Source organism: Homo sapiens, chromosome 19 (genome assembly GCF_000001405.40).
Source record: "Homo sapiens chromosome 19, GRCh38.p14 Primary Assembly".
NCBI classification, from domain to species: Eukaryota; Metazoa; Chordata; class Mammalia; order Primates; family Hominidae; genus Homo; species Homo sapiens.
Genome location: NC_000019.10, coordinates 7,444,146 through 7,459,007, shown reverse-complemented (window position 1 = coordinate 7,459,007; position 14,862 = coordinate 7,444,146). Strand labels below are relative to the sequence as shown.

The window sequence follows — 14,862 nt, the reverse complement described above, 5'->3', positions numbered from 1 at the left end:
GGGTGCTCGGCCCAAGGAGGAAGGACAAGATGCCATGCCCTGCTCCAACAAATCTGGCCCTAGAATGCAGAGAGCCCGCCATGGCAGGTGCAGTGGCCCACGCATGCAGAAAGGCCCAGGTTACAGCTGCCTTTCTGGGCCCGTTGGCCTCAACGTCCAACAGGTTGAGTCATCAGAAGGAGCTGGAATGGCGTCATGGGTCCCAAGCTGGGATGAGGGAGTTCAAGGTCACAGCTGATGGCCAACGGTCGAAGCCAAGGGTGGACCAATCAGCGGAAGGAACACAGTGGGTGGGGAGACCCCCAGGCCCTCCTCACCTCTCCACAGCCCTTTGGATGTGGGCCATCCAGGCGTTCCTGTCCTCTTTGGAGCTCGTGTAGATTTCATACATCTCCGGCCCTTGCAAGGAGGCGCTGATCAGAAACATCGCTTTCTCCTCGTTGGCCACTTCCCTCACGATGAGCTTTTGTAACGAGATGACGGGTGGCTTTGAGTCCTGCATGAGTAGAGGGCATTGGGGAGGTCACCCTTTACCCCACAGCACCCAAACAGCAGGGAGGTCAAGGGCCTGGTGAGGGGAACTAAGAGTGGGGGTCACGCTCCTCATTTCTTTTCAAACAATTCAAAGCGGAAATATTTTGCCATCTGGGGGAAAAAAGATACTATTGCAGTGAAATCCTAGAAACCTTTTTTTTTTTTTTTTTTTTTTTAAACTATCTTGGAGGCCAGGTCTTGCTCTGTCACCCAGGCTGTAGTGCAGTGGTGCAATCATTGTTCCCTGCAGCCTTGACCTCCTGGGCTCAAGTGATCCTCCCACCTCAGCCTCCTGAGTAGCTGGGATTATAGGCACGTGCCGCCAGGCCCAGCTAATTTTTGTATTTTTTGTAGAGATGGGATCTCACTATGTTGCCCAGGCTGGTCTTGAAGTCCTAGGCTCAAGTGATCCTCCTATCTCGGCCTCCCAAAGTGCTGAGATGACAGGAGTGAGCCATCTTGCCCCTTAGTATCCCGATAATGTGTCAATTTCATCAGCTTAAAAATTTTTTTTTAAATAGTCGGCAATGCACATACACACGAGAAAGCTCAAAAGATACAACGGTATGTAGTATATAACAACAGATAAACCCATCTCTGTCTTGTGCCTCAGGCCACCCAGAGCCACCGGTATTTCTAGTCTGTCACGCATCCTTCAAGAGACAATGCTTCCACAGACCAGCAAAATGCACATTTTAACTGGCTAGAGTGGGCTACACTGTGTTCCCCACAAATTCATATGAAGTCCTGAGCCCTAGCACCTCAGAATGTGGCTGTCTTTGGAGATGGGGCCTTTAAAGAGGTGATTAATGTGCGGGTGTGGTGGCTCACTCCTGTAATCCCAGCACTTTGGGAGGCTGAGGCAGGCAGATCACTTAAGGTCAGGAGTTCAAGACCAGCCTGGCCAACATGGTGAAACCCCATCTCTACTAAAAATACAAAAAGTAGCCGGGTGTGGCGGCAGGTGCCTGTAATCCCAGCTACTCAGGAGGCTGAGGCAGGAGAATCACTTGAACTCGGGAGGTGGAGGTTGCAGTGAGTCGAGATTGTGTCATTGCACACTCCAGCCTGGGCGACAGAGTGAGACTGTCTCAAAAAAAAAAAAAAAAAAAAAAAAAAAGAGAGGTGATTATGGCAAAATGAGATCATATGGGCGGGCCCAAATCCAATCTGACTGGCATCCTTCTAACAAGAGGAGATTAGCACAGAGGCACACACAGAGGGATGGCCACTCGAGGACACAGAGAACAGATGAGCACATGGCTGCCTACAAGCCAAGGGGCCTCAGAAGAAACCAACCCTGCTGATACCTTCATCTTGGACTTTCAGCCTGCAGAAACATGAGACAATAAATTTATGTGGTCTAAACCACCCAGTCCATGGTACTTTGTTTACAGCAGCCTCAGCAAACAAATACACTGGTTAAGAACACACCAGCAGCTGGGCACGGTGGCGCACGACTGTAATCCCATCACTTTGGGAGGCCAAGGCGGGAGGATCACTTGAGGTTAGAAGATGGAGACCAGCCTGGCCAACATGGTGAAACCCCGTCTCTACTAAAAATACAAAAAATTAGCCAGGCGTGGTGGCGGGCGCCTGTAATCCCAGCTATGTGGGCCTGGAAAACTCACAGGTGCCCCTTCCATGGGCAGTTTCAGCCAACCTCCCAACAAGGTCACAGCAAGCAGGGCCCTTCGTCTGTTTTTTGTTTGTTTGTTTTGTTTTTTTGTTTTGAGATAGAGTCTCGCTCTGTTGCCCAGGCGGGAGAGCAGTGGCGCAGTCTTGCTGGAGAGCAGTGGCACAATCTCAGCTCACTGCAACCTTCACCTCCTGGGTTCAGGTGATTATCCTGCCTCAGCCTCCTGAGTAGCTGGGACTACAGACATGGGCCACCATGCCCGGCTAATTTTTGTATTTTTAGTAGAGGTGAGGTTTCACCATGTTGGCCAGGCTGGACTTCAACTCTTGACCTCAAGTGATCTGCCCACCTCGGCCTCCCAAAGTGCTGGGATTATAGACGTGAGCCACAGCACCCAGCCGACCCTTCGTCTGAAGAGACAGGATACATACCACAGAAGCAAAGACGTATTTCTGATCTTTTTCTTGTAGCAGCAAAAGTACGTCGGTCAGCAGGATAGCCAGGATATCTGGGAAAACAGCATGGAAGGATGCATCTTAAAAGTCCCATAGCCAGGAGGTCTTGCTGGCCACCCCCGCGGATGCCACTTCCCAGGAAGGTGTAAGCAGCATGATGCTTCTGCCTGGGCCTAGAAGTTTCCTTTCTGCCTTGCCTGCACCCCCCATCACCTTTCCAGGTCTCAACCTTCAGCACCAACGAGCAGCCGGAGCCTCCTCTAAGTCCCTTCCGTGTCCAGAGCTCAAACCAGGGCTCCCGCCCATGTCAGGCCACTGTGCCCGGCAATTCTCTTTGCTGTAACAACACCTGCTGGGTCTGACCTTTGAGAATCTGATACGGTTTGGCTGCGTCCCCACCCACATCTCATCTTGAATTCCCACGTGCTGTAAGAGGGACCTGGTGGGAGGTAATTGAATCATGGGGGCAGATCTTTTCCATGCCGTTCTCGTGATAGTGAATGAGTCTCACAAGATCTGACAGTTTTATAAGGGGGAGTTTCCCTGCACAAGCTCCCTCTCTCTTTGCCTGCTGCCATCCATGTAAGACTTGACTTGCTCCTCCTGCCTTCTGCCATGATTGTGAGGCCTTCCCCCACAGGTGGAACTGTTTAAGTCCATTAAACCTCTTTCTTTGGTAAGTTGCCCAGTCTCAGGTATGTCTTTATCAGCAGCATGAACACGGACTAATACAACATCTCTCCCTCTGATGTCTCAGATGTGAACGGAGCTCTCTGTTCTCCCTGCTCCTGGGTCACCAGGACCCGAGCCACAGCAGCGATGCAGGCCAGGGGTGGTCTCAGTCCCCTCGTGCCCCTCAGTCCCCCTTGGCGCCTTGTCCCTGTATGAACCTCTCGTGCTGTAAGGCTTCCTGCACATAGATGCAAATCCTGAGCTGCGTTTCAAGGGCAACGCCACTTTTGGGGAGCTGCTTCCAACACCCCTGTCTAAGTCAGATACGCTTTTGCTAATTCTCTCACACTGCAGCCTGCTGGCTTCCTTAAAGCATGTGCTGGACTTCTAACTAGTTTTTCCGTTTTTTGGCTTGTTTCTCTCTTTCAGCCCAGTGACTGATGCCTTAAAAGGCTAGGCACCAGGTCTTGCCCGGTGGGGTGTATTCCTACCATCCAACTCGGCGCCTGGCAGGCAGAAGGCGCTAAACCTGTCTGCGAAATACACGCCTACTCAAATGATGAGTGGGCAAGTGCTGTCATTTGGCCACCTCAATGACTCCCTCAAGATCCTTAAAGATGCTGATGTGAATAGATAGCTTGGGATGTTTCTAGAGGCTCCAAAAATGAACAGGAAACCCAGGAATGAATCCTGAGCACTCTCTGGTCTGAACTGCAACATGGGTCTTGAAAGTAGGGCTCGGAGCACACCCTGGGCAGCGAGTGGGATGCTTGGGGATGCTGATCAGCAGTCCTGGGGGTATTCTCTATCCACATGGGGGCCTCTCAGTGGCTGGGCCCATGGCAGGCAGGCTGGCCCATGACTGCCCAGATGGGCAGCTGAGCGTGTTTGGAATTCTGGGCCCAAACCTGGGGTGTCTCGATGTGCCACCAATGCCCTGGGTTTCCATTGGGAAGTCAACAACTCAGCATGCCCTCCTGGTGTGTACTGCACCCTTCCAAAGACCAGAGGAGGAGGACGGTGATACAACCATCTCTTTTATGCTACACCCCAGCTGCCTTGCTCATCCTGACTCAGCTCATAACCTCCCTTCAGCCATGAAGTAGCCAGACTTCAGTGGCTCTGTGTCAGTTGACACCCACCAAACCAAACCAAGATGGTGCCCACTGATCCAAGAGGGCACCCACTGATCTGAGAGGATGCCACCACTCCCAAGACCATGCCACCAGTCCGAGATGGCACCCACCAATCAAAATGGTGGCCACTGATCCAAGAGGGAGCCCACTGATCAAGATGATGCCACCATTCCAAGATGGTGCTCACTGATCCAAGATGGTACTCACTGATCCAGGATGTCACTATTTCCAAGACTATGCCACTGATCCAAGAGGCACCCAGTGATCTAAGATGGTGCCATCATTCCTAAGACTGTGCCACCAATCCAAGATGGCACCCACCAACCCAAATTGTGCCCACTGATTCAAGAGGGAACCCACCAAGATGGTGCCACTGATCCAAGATGGCACCCACCACTCCAAGAGGGTGCCCACAACTCCCAAGATGGCACCCACCAATCCAATATGGTGCCACCACTCCAAGATGGTGCTGCTAATCCCATATGGCACCTACCAATCCAAGATGATGCCCACTGATCCAAGATGGCACCCATCACTCTAAGAGGGCACCCACAACTCCCAAGATGGTGCTACCAACCCAAGATAGCACCCACCAATCCAATATAATGCCACCAATCCAACATGGCACCCACCAATAAAAAATGGGAACCAACACTCCAAAATGGTACCCACTGATACAGGATAGTGCCACCAATCAAGAGAGTACCCACCAATCCAAGATGGTGACCACCTCTCCAAGATGGTACCCACTGATACAAGATGGTGCCACTAATCTAAGACAGTGCCCACCACTCCAAGACAGTGCCCACTGATCCAAGATGGCACCCACTAGAGGTGGGCAGGGGCAGGCCTTTACCTTTCAAGCGCCCTGATGTGGTCTTCCAGCATAGCATGCCCTCCAGGTGGAGCTGCCGCTGAAGCATGTCTTCCTTGCGGAAGGTGAGCCCGTTCTTGAGTTTGCTGGAAGACTTCAGGTCCATCTTCCCTGCGATCTCCCTGAGGCGCTGGCCCTTCTCACACTCACTGACCTTGGCGTCCACTTGTGAGATGATATCTTTGATGAGGTTCAAGGCCTGGGTCAGGTCTTCATAGTCCTCAGTGCCAGCTGCCACACATAGCAGAGTTAGCGTCTTTCTTTTCCACTTTAACACAACAGAAGTGGACACACTCACTATGTATGGACATGTGGATCTATGAGGTGTGTGGACACACTATGTATGGGCGTGTGGGATCTATGAGGTGTGTTCTCCAAGGCCACCACTCAGAAGACCCTCAAGATCACTTCCCAAATGTAATCTCCTGAGATGCAAATAGTTCTCCAAAATAAATGCAACACGTCAGAGTTTAGGTTTTTTTTGGGGGGGGGAGGGTAGGGTGGACGGAGTCTGGCTCTGTCACCCAGGCTAGAGTACAATGGCGCAATCTCAGCTCACTGCAACCTGTCTCCCAGGTTCAAGCGATTCTCCTGCCTCAGTCTCCCAAGTAGCTGGGATTACAGGCACCCGCCACCATGCCCAGCTATTTTTTTTGGTATTTTTAGTAGAGACGGGGTTTCACTATGTTGGCCAGGCTGGTCTCAAACTCCTGACTTCAAGTGATCCGCCTGCCTCAGCCTCCCAAAGTGCTGGGATTACAGGCATAAGCCACTGTGCCTGGCCCAGAGCTGAATTTTTACCTAGGTAGAGCATCTATCGAATGCAGAAGCTAAGGTGCAATTCAAGTGGCAAAACTGCCATGACTAGCTCTGCCATCTACTGCTTGGTAAACGAACTTTCCTCTGTCCCAATCCCTTCATAAAAGACTCCCAGCTGGGCATGGTGGCTCACGCCTGTAATCCCAGCACTCTGGGAGGCTGAGGCGGGCAGATCACCTGAGGTCGGGAGTTCAAGACCAGCCTGACCAACATGAAGAAACCTCGTCTCTACTAAAAATATAAAAATTAGCCAGGCGTGGTGGCACATGCCTGTAATCCCAGCTACTCGGGAGGCTGAGGCAGGAGAATCACTTGAACCCAGGAGGCAGAGGTTGCAGTGAGCCAAGATCATGCCACTGTACTCTAGCCTGGGCAATAAGAGTGAAACTCCATCTTACAATAAATAAATAAATAAATAAATAAATTAGATTCCCTCCACCTCCTGTTGTGACTGGGATCTGGCTCTTCCCACTCCAAGGATGTGGCTTTTATAGTGGGGAAATTTGTTCATCCTCTCACGGCCTGAATTCAGTGGTGAAGCGAGAGCTGTGGTCAGCACGGCCCTGGCTGCCAGAACTCCTGGCTGGACTGCCCGCCCTTCTCTGCCTCCCTGGCTCCAGACACATCCCTTGCTCAGCCCTGGTCATGTGACACAGAGGCCATCTCTGGGTCTGTTTGAACCACCAGGGCACCGTCTCCATCCATTCATCCTTTCCACAGACACTAACACTGAGGGCCTGCAGTGGCCCAGCCTGTGCTAGGGGCTGGGGGAAACAGTTGGCAAATGAGACCTGGCTCCTGCTTTCATGGTGCTGACCACCCCATCTTTCTTGTATCAAAAGCCCCAGGCCAGGCTGGGCGTGGCATGGTGGCTCATGCCTGTAATCCCAGCACTTTGGGAGGCCAACATGGGTGGATCATTTGAGGCCAGGAGTTTAAGACCAGCCTGATCAACATGGTGAATCCCCATCTCTACTACAAATATCAAAGTTAGCTAGGTGTGGTGGTGGGCGCCTGTAGTCCTAGCTACTCGGGAGTCTGAGGCAGGAGAATCACTTGAACCTGGGAAGTGGAGGTTGCAGTGAGCCGAGATCGTGCCACTGTACTCCAGCCTGAGGGACACAGCAAGACTGTCTCAAAACAAAACAAAACAAAAAAACCCAGGCCAGATGTGATGGCTCATGCCTGTAATCCCAGCACTTTGGAGAGACCGAGGTGGGAGGATCACTTGAACCCAGGAGTTCCACACCAGCCTGGGTAACACAGCGAGACCCCATCTCTAAAAAAAAAATTAAAAAAAATTAACTGTGTGTAGTGGCGTATGCCTGTAGTCCCAGGTGCTTGGGAGGCTGAGGTAGAAGGACCACTTGAGCCCCAGAGTTGGAGGCTGTGCAATGAGCTATGATTTCACCACTACACTCCAGCCTGGGCAACAGAGTGAGACTCTGTCTCTTAAAAAAAAAAAAAAAAAAAAGGAAGGAACCCCAGCACCCAGCAAACTGGATTTCAAAGGGAATTTATTCAGTTTGCTGCTCAAATAGGGAGTGGGTACACGGAGAGAGCCCTGTGCTGCAGCAGCACGGGCGGGCGGGGCAGTGGGGAGAAGGCCTACCTTCCGTGTTCTGGATGATGCGCTCCACCAGCACTGGGTATTTGGTTATGCGTTGTGTAACCAGGAGAATGCACTCCTGCACGCCAAGCCGCCGCACGATGGAGAAGTTGCCAATTTTCTAGGAAACAGAAAGCAAGATCCTGTATTAACATCTCAGAAACGGACAGCAAGATCCTGTATTAACATCTCAGAAACGGACAGCAAGATCCCGCATTAACATCTCGGAAATGGACAGCAAGATCCCATATTAACATCTCGGAAATGGACAGCAAGATCCTGCATTAACATCTCGGAAACGGACAGCAAGATCCCGCATTAACATCTCGGAAACGGACAGCAAGATCCTGCATTAACATCTCAGAAAGGTACAGCAAGACCCCGCATTAACATCTCGGAAACGGACAGCAAGACGCCGCATTAACATCTCGGAAACGGACAGCAAGACCCCGTATTAACATCTCGGAAACGGAAAGCAAGATCCCGCATTAACACCGTGGAAACGGACAGCAAGATCCCGCATTAACATCTCGGAAACGGAAAGCAAGATCTTGCATTAACATCTCGGAAACGGACAGCAAGATCCCGCATTAACATCTCGGAAATGGACAGCAAGATCCCGTATTAACATCTTGGAAATGGAAATGGAAAGCAAGATCCCATATTAATGTCTTGGAAACAGAAAGCAAGATCGACATTCACACCTCGGAAATGGAAACAGAAAGCAAGATCCTGTATTAACATCTCGGAAATGGACAGCAAGATCCCGTATTAACATCTCGGAAACGGAAACGGAAAGCAAGATCCTGTATTAACATCTCGGAAACGGAAACGGAAAGCAAGATCCCGCATTAACATCTTGGAAACGGACAGCAAGATCCCGTATTAACATCTCAGAAACGGACAGCAAGATCCCGCATTAACATCTTGGAAATGGACAGCAAGATCCTGTATTAACGTCTTGGAAATGGAAACAGAAAGCAAGATCCCATATTAACATCTCGGAAATGGACAGCAAGAGCCTGTATTAACATCTCAGAAACAGAAAGCGAGATACCGCATTAACAGCTCGGAAATGGACAGCAAGATTGCGTATTAACATCTCGGAAATGGACAGCAAGATCCTGCATTAACATCTCGGTTTCTGCCCAATTTGTCAACAATCGGCTGCCAAGGCTGGGGGCTCCTTCCTTTCTCAGCTCACCAGGACCTTTCCTTTGCCACTTTGGAGGAGACAGACACCAGATACCTGAACGCAGGGATCACCTGCTGTATATACAAAGGCCACCAAAGGACAGATGTGGTGGTTCATGCCTGTAATCTCAGCACTTTGGGAGGCCAAGGTGGAAGGAATGCTTGAGACCAGGAGTTTGAGACCAGCCTGGGCAACACAGCAAGACCCCATCTCTACAAAAAATTAAAATATTAGCTGGGCATGGTGGCACACTCCTGTAGTCCCAGCTATTCAGGAAGCAGAGACAGGAGGTTTTGCTTGAGCCCAGGAGTTTGAGGCTGCAGTGAGCCATGATTCTTCCATTGCACTCCAGCCTGGGCCACAGAGCAAGACCCTGACTCTAAAAAAATAAAATAAATGAGAACCAGCCAGGGGGTTATTATGGAAATCATCTGTCAAGCTGTCCACACACACAATGTACACATGAACACACACCCCCTAACCCATGACTGCTGGAACCCTCCAGAACTAGAGTGGGCCTGTGCCTTTTGAATGGGTCCCTGGGTGTGATCTCAGCTCACTGCAACCTCCGCCTCCCAAGTTTAAGCGATTCTCCTGTCTCAGCCTCCGAGTAGCTGGGATTACAGGTGTGCGCCACCACACCTGGCTAATTTTTGTAGTTTTAGTAGAGATGAGGTTTCGCCATATTCCCCAGACTGGTCTCAAACTCCTGGGCTCAAGTGATCCGCCTGCCTTGGCCTCCCCAAAAGTGCTGGGATTCCAAGCGTGAGCCACCACGCCCAGCCTGGGTGCTTTCTGATGCTCACCTCTGGCTAAGAACCAAAAGGGGTCACCTGACACTCTCTCGGGAGCATAGCACATTTTCTGCTTGTTTGCTCCCGCTGCTCTTGTATGCATTTGAGGGATGCCAGCACTTGCAGAGAGCCACTGAAGAGGCCCGGAGCCGCTGTGGGATTTGCAAGAGTCCGTGGACGGAGGTTTCATTGGAATCCCCCTCCTGGCTTTGAGGAACTGCGGCTCCAAAACGATCCTCCCCCTTTCCTACCTACCTATAATGCAATGAAGTTTAAACGCATGTCACTCCTAACTTTGGACCACTGGGTGTAGAATGCCACTGCAGAACCAAGTCCTGGCCAGGCCACAGGTGATGCAGCTCTTGTGGAATCAGCAGTGTTAGGGCCTCTAAAGAGGTGAATGTTGATAGAACCAACTAGCCATCATCCAAGTGTGGTTTCTAGGACGTGGGAGGTGGGGTCTCCCTTGACTTGGCTGACTCCGGCTGGGCTTCGAGCACCTACCCACGCTCACACAAAGGAGGCAGGAAGATCATTCTACACGCTCCGGGGGCGAACATGGACCAGCAAGGGGACAAAAGTTTGGAGTAACCCTCCTTTTTTTTTTTTGTATTTTTTTGAGACGGAGTTTCGCTCTTGTTGCCCAGGCTGGAGTGCAGTGGTGCGATCTCAGCTCACTGCACGCTCCGCCTCCCGGGTTCACACCATTCTTCTGCCTCAGCCTCCCGAGTAGCTGGGACTACAGGCGCCCACCACCACGCCTGGCTAATTTTTTGTACTTTTAGTAGAGACCAGGTTTCACCATGTTAGCCAGGATGGTCTCGATCTCCTGACCTCGTGATCCACCCGCCTTGGCCTCCCAAAATGCTGGGATTACAGGCATGAGCCACTGTGCCCGGCCTACGCCTGGCTAATTTTTTGTATTTTTAGTAAAGACGGGGTTTCGCCATGTTGGGCAGGCTGGTACTGAACTTCTGACCTCAGGTGATCTGCCCGCCTTGGCCTCCCAAAGTTACAGGGATTACAGGTGTGAGCCACCGTGCCCATCTGGAGTAACCCTCCTTGAGACAGACGGCATCCCCAAGGCAAGACAGGCTGGATCTGGAGGCCCAGTTCCTGGGGCAGGGCAGCCCCTTCAAACGACCCTTTGTGTCATCCAAACAGTGATGACACAAAGTGGTGGTCAGCAGGTCCCATACTGAGCTGCAGGGGTCTCTCAGGGGCCACCGTGGCCTGGTAAGGAACAAAGTCTAGATATGCTTTCTTTGATTGATTTTGTTAATATGTGTGTGTGTATACATATGTATCTTATATAATAGAGATGGGATCTTGCTATGTTGCCCAGGCTGCTCTTAAACTCCTGAGCTCAACTGATTTTCCCTCCTTAGCGGCTGGAGTAGCTGGGATTACAGGTGTGCACCACCATGCCTGGCTAATTTTTAAATTTTTCTTAGAGACAGGATCTTGCTATGTTGCCCAGGCTGGTCTCGAACTCCTGGCCTCAAGTGATCCTCCTGCCTTGGCCTCTCGAAGTGCTGGATTTACAGCGTGAGGCATTGCATCTGGCCCGCTTTATTTTACATCTCAGGATTCTATGTAAGATTTCACTGACGTGTTCTGAATGGGGTTGTAGTTAAAACCCAAACCAAACCTTGAAAAATCACTGCTACATAACAGATGCCTTTTAATTCCCAAGTCTCAAGACTCTACAATTCTGTGGAAAAACCCCACAGTGAAGAATGTAAGTTTTTTTTTTTGCTTTTTGTTATTTTGTTTTTGTTTTTTTTGAGACAGAGTCTTGCTCTGTTGCCAGGCTCGAGTGCAGTGGCAGTGGCACGATCTCGGCTCACTGCAACCTTTGCTTCCTGGGTTCAAGCAATTCCTCTGCCTCAGCCTCCCAAGTAGCTGGGATTACAGGTGCGTGCCACCATGCCAGGCTAATTTTTTGTATTTTAATAGAGACGGGGTTTCACCATGTTGGCCAGGACGGTCTCGATCTCCTGGCCTTGTGATCCGCCCGCCTCAGACTCCCAAAGTGCTGGGATTACAGGCGTGAGCCACTGCGCCCGGCCAGAATATAAGTTTTTGATTAAAAAAAAAAATTGTTTTTACCTTGATCAAGTTTTGAAATTTCTTGTTTTGCTGAAGCAGCAACTTGTAATGACTAACAGCTTCATTGTGGCCACTACAAAACACACCGTACTTTTCTTTCATTCTCTCCCCATTTTCACCTGAAAACTGATAAACAAAAGGATGGAAATGTTAATTAAACACGAAAACTGCCAAAGAGTATTTTCATCTAATTCGTCTGAGTCTGCTAAAATAAATATTAGATTTATTTGCAATTCCATTTTCTTTCTTTCTTCTTCTTTTTTTTTTTTTTTTGAGACAGCATCTTGCTCTGTGGCTCAGGCTAAAGAGCAATGGCGCGATCTTGGCTCACTGCAACCTCTGTCTCCCGGGATCAAGCGATGCTCCTGCTGTAGTCTCCCAAGTAGCTGGGATTACAGGTGCCGCCACCACGCCTGGCTAATTTTTTTTAGACAGAGTCTCACTCTGTTGCCCAGGCTGGAGTGCAGTGGCGTGATCTTGGCTCACTGCAACCTCCACCTCCCGGGGTCAAGCGATTCTCCTGCCTCAGCCTCCTGAGTAGCTGAGATTACAGGGGCATGCCACCATGCCCTGCTAATTTTTGTATTTTTAGTAGAGACCAGGTTTCACCATGTTGGTCAGGCTGGTCTCGAACTCTTGACCTCTTGATCCACCCACCTCATCTTCCCAAAGTGCTGGGATTATAGGCATGAGCCACCGCGCCTGGCCAGCCAAAGTATATTTTCATCTAATTTGTCTGACTCTGCTAAAATAAATATTAGATTTATTTGCAATTCCATTTTCTTTTATTTTTTTTAGAGACAGCATCTTGCTCTGTGGCTCAGGCTGGAGGGCAGTGGTGTGATCTTGGCTCACTGCAACCTCTGCCTTCCGGGTCTGAGTGATTCTCCTGCCACAGCCTCCTGAGTAGCTGGGATTACAGGTGCCACCACCACACCTGGCTAACCTGACCATGTTGGTCAGGCTGGCCTTGAACTCATAACCTCAAGTGATCCACCCCCACTCAGCCTCCCAAAGTGTTGGGGTCACAGGTGTGAGCCACAGTGCCTGGCTGCAGTTCCATTTTCTAATATGTCCTCAAACAGAGAAATGCTTCAGTTTGGGGTGTCTAATCGCAAGGTGTCATAAAGGTGAAATAAAAAAACCTTCTGCTTCGGGGCTTTGCTGCATCACAGATGCTGTACAACTTCCTGAGAGCCGAGAAAAAAAGTAAATTTCAGCCAAAGGACGTTAGAAACAAAAAGCAGGCCAGGCGCAGTGGCTCACATACGTAATCCCAGCAGTTTGGGAGACTGAGGCAGGCGGATCACCTGAGGTCAAGAGTTCAAGACCAGCCTGGCCAACATGGTGAAACCCTGTCTCTACTAAAAATACAAAAAAAATTAGCCGGGTGTGGTGGCAGGCACCTGTAATCCCAGCTACTCGGGAGGCTGAGGCATGAGAATTGCTTGAACCTGGGAGGTGCAGGTTGCAGTGAGCCGACATTGCACCACTGCACTCCAGCCTGGGCGACAGAGTGAGACTTTGTCTCAAAAAAAGAAACATAAAAAGCAAAAGGAGTGTTCTTCTAATTAGTTGGCCCAGGATGCTTCGAGCAAATAGTTTGAGGTCACATGAAGGGCACAGCTCCCCTGGGTAAATCTTGGCCTAGGGTGATCATTTGGGGTTAATACCACTACCACGGTTGGTGCTGGTTCACAGGTATGCTTTCCCCCACTCCCAAATTGGGGTCTTACTCTGCTGCCCAGGCTGGAGGGCAGTGGCATGATCATAGCTCATTGCAGCCTTGACCTCTCAAGCTCAAGTGATCCTCCCACCTCAGCCTCCTGAGTAGCTGGGACTACAGCTATACACCACCACAGCTGGCTAATTTATTTTCATGTTTTGTAGATACGGGGTCTTGCTATGTTGCCCAGGCTGGTCTGGAACTCCTGGACTCAAGCAATTCACCTGCTTGGCCTCCCAAAGTGCTGGGATTACAGGTGTGGGCCACTGCACTCAGTCAACAGGTAAGCTTTGAACGGTTGAAAGCATAAGTGACTTGAACCAAAAACCAAAAACCAACCAACCAAACAAGAGCACAGAAGAATGTAACATTGAATAGTGTTCAGCCAGGGACACTGCCTAATTTAGGTCTCTGTGTTTCTAGAATATGAACTGCAGGCATCGCTGTAAGGGGCCCAGAACTGTGTGTCCTCAGGGGCCACTCTCGTTTTATTACTGAAAGGAAAAGGCTGGCACAATGGCTCATGCCTGTGATCCCTGCACTTTGGGATGCCGAGGCAGGGGGATTGCTTAAGCCAGGAATTTGAGACTAGCCTGGGCAACAAAGCAAGACCCCATCTCTTCAAAAAATAAAAAGTTAGCCAGGCATGGTGTTCCCTGGAGTCCCAGCTACGTGGAAGGCTGAGGCAGGAGGATCACTTGAGCTCAGGAGTTCAAGACCAGCCTGGGCCATAGAGTGAGACCTCATCTCTACAAAAAATAAAATTTAGCCGGGTATGGTGGCGCATAGCTGTAGTCCCAGCTACTTGGGAGGCTGAGGTGGGAGGATCACCTGAGCCTGAGAGGTTGAGGCTGCATTGAGCTGTGACTGCACCACTGCACTCCAGCCTGGGCGACACGGCAAGACCCTATCTCAGAAAAAAAGAAGAAAGGAACAGAGACAAGGCAGAGGCTTTGAAGACTGTTGAGATGAACACGGCTGCACCCACCTGCTGAACCAGGAGGTCGCCGATTTTCTGGATGACATAATTCCGGTCACTGCCCTCCTCCAGGGACTCCTGGCGGCGCTCCTTGAGCCGAGCGAGGAAGTGGCTGTGCGTCTCCAGCAGGTCGTCAGCGCATGGGAAGAGGCGGCCAATGGCCTTGCTGCTGAACTGCAGCTCCTCCTGCAGGGCCCTGGAGTACACCTTCAGCATGATCTTGAGCGTCCGCACGTGGTGCACCTCTGTCTGCATCAGCTCTGCAGGGACACAGACGGCAGGACTTAGCCATGCTGGCTCCACGGCCCCGCTGGGCAG

The 14,862-nt window shown here is 50.7% G+C and overlaps 1 protein-coding gene across 15 annotated transcripts in view, besides 2 other annotated features; it reads right to left on the bottom strand.

Moving 5' to 3' along the window:
- The window catches only part of ARHGEF18 (Rho/Rac guanine nucleotide exchange factor 18), a 131,053-nt gene that overhangs the window by 20,982 nt on the left and 95,209 nt on the right, over positions 1 to 14,862 (bottom strand). For all 15 annotated transcript variants that reach the window (XR_007066705.1, XR_007066706.1, XM_006722706.4 and 12 more), the window contains 6 exons: positions 14,554 to 14,804; positions 11,840 to 11,965; positions 7,742 to 7,859; positions 5,293 to 5,541; positions 2,605 to 2,681; positions 318 to 496 (listed from right to left, as the gene is read on the bottom strand). Coding sequence is in view for 13 of the 15 variants with exons in the window: in XM_006722706.4 (XP_006722769.1) it covers positions 318 to 496; positions 2,605 to 2,681; positions 5,293 to 5,541; positions 7,742 to 7,859; positions 11,840 to 11,965; positions 14,554 to 14,804 (1,000 nt within the window). In the remaining 2 variants the exon portion in view is untranslated. The remainder of the gene's footprint in view (positions 1 to 317; positions 497 to 2,604; positions 2,682 to 5,292; positions 5,542 to 7,741; positions 7,860 to 11,839; positions 11,966 to 14,553; positions 14,805 to 14,862) is intronic.
- Positions 7,661 to 8,203: an enhancer, noted in NCBI's record as "OCT4-NANOG-H3K27ac hESC enhancer chr19:7515691-7516233 (GRCh37/hg19 assembly coordinates)". NCBI's record gives its function as "activates a minimal SCP1, AML or CMV promoter by ChIP-STARR-seq in naive H9 embryonic stem cells {active_cell/tissue: H9 hESC(naive)}" and the evidence as "EXISTENCE:reporter gene assay evidence [ECO:0000049][PMID:30033119]".
- Positions 8,204 to 8,748: an enhancer, noted in NCBI's record as "OCT4-NANOG-H3K27ac hESC enhancer chr19:7515146-7515690 (GRCh37/hg19 assembly coordinates)". NCBI's record gives its function as "activates a minimal SCP1, AML or CMV promoter by ChIP-STARR-seq in naive H9 embryonic stem cells {active_cell/tissue: H9 hESC(naive)}" and the evidence as "EXISTENCE:reporter gene assay evidence [ECO:0000049][PMID:30033119]".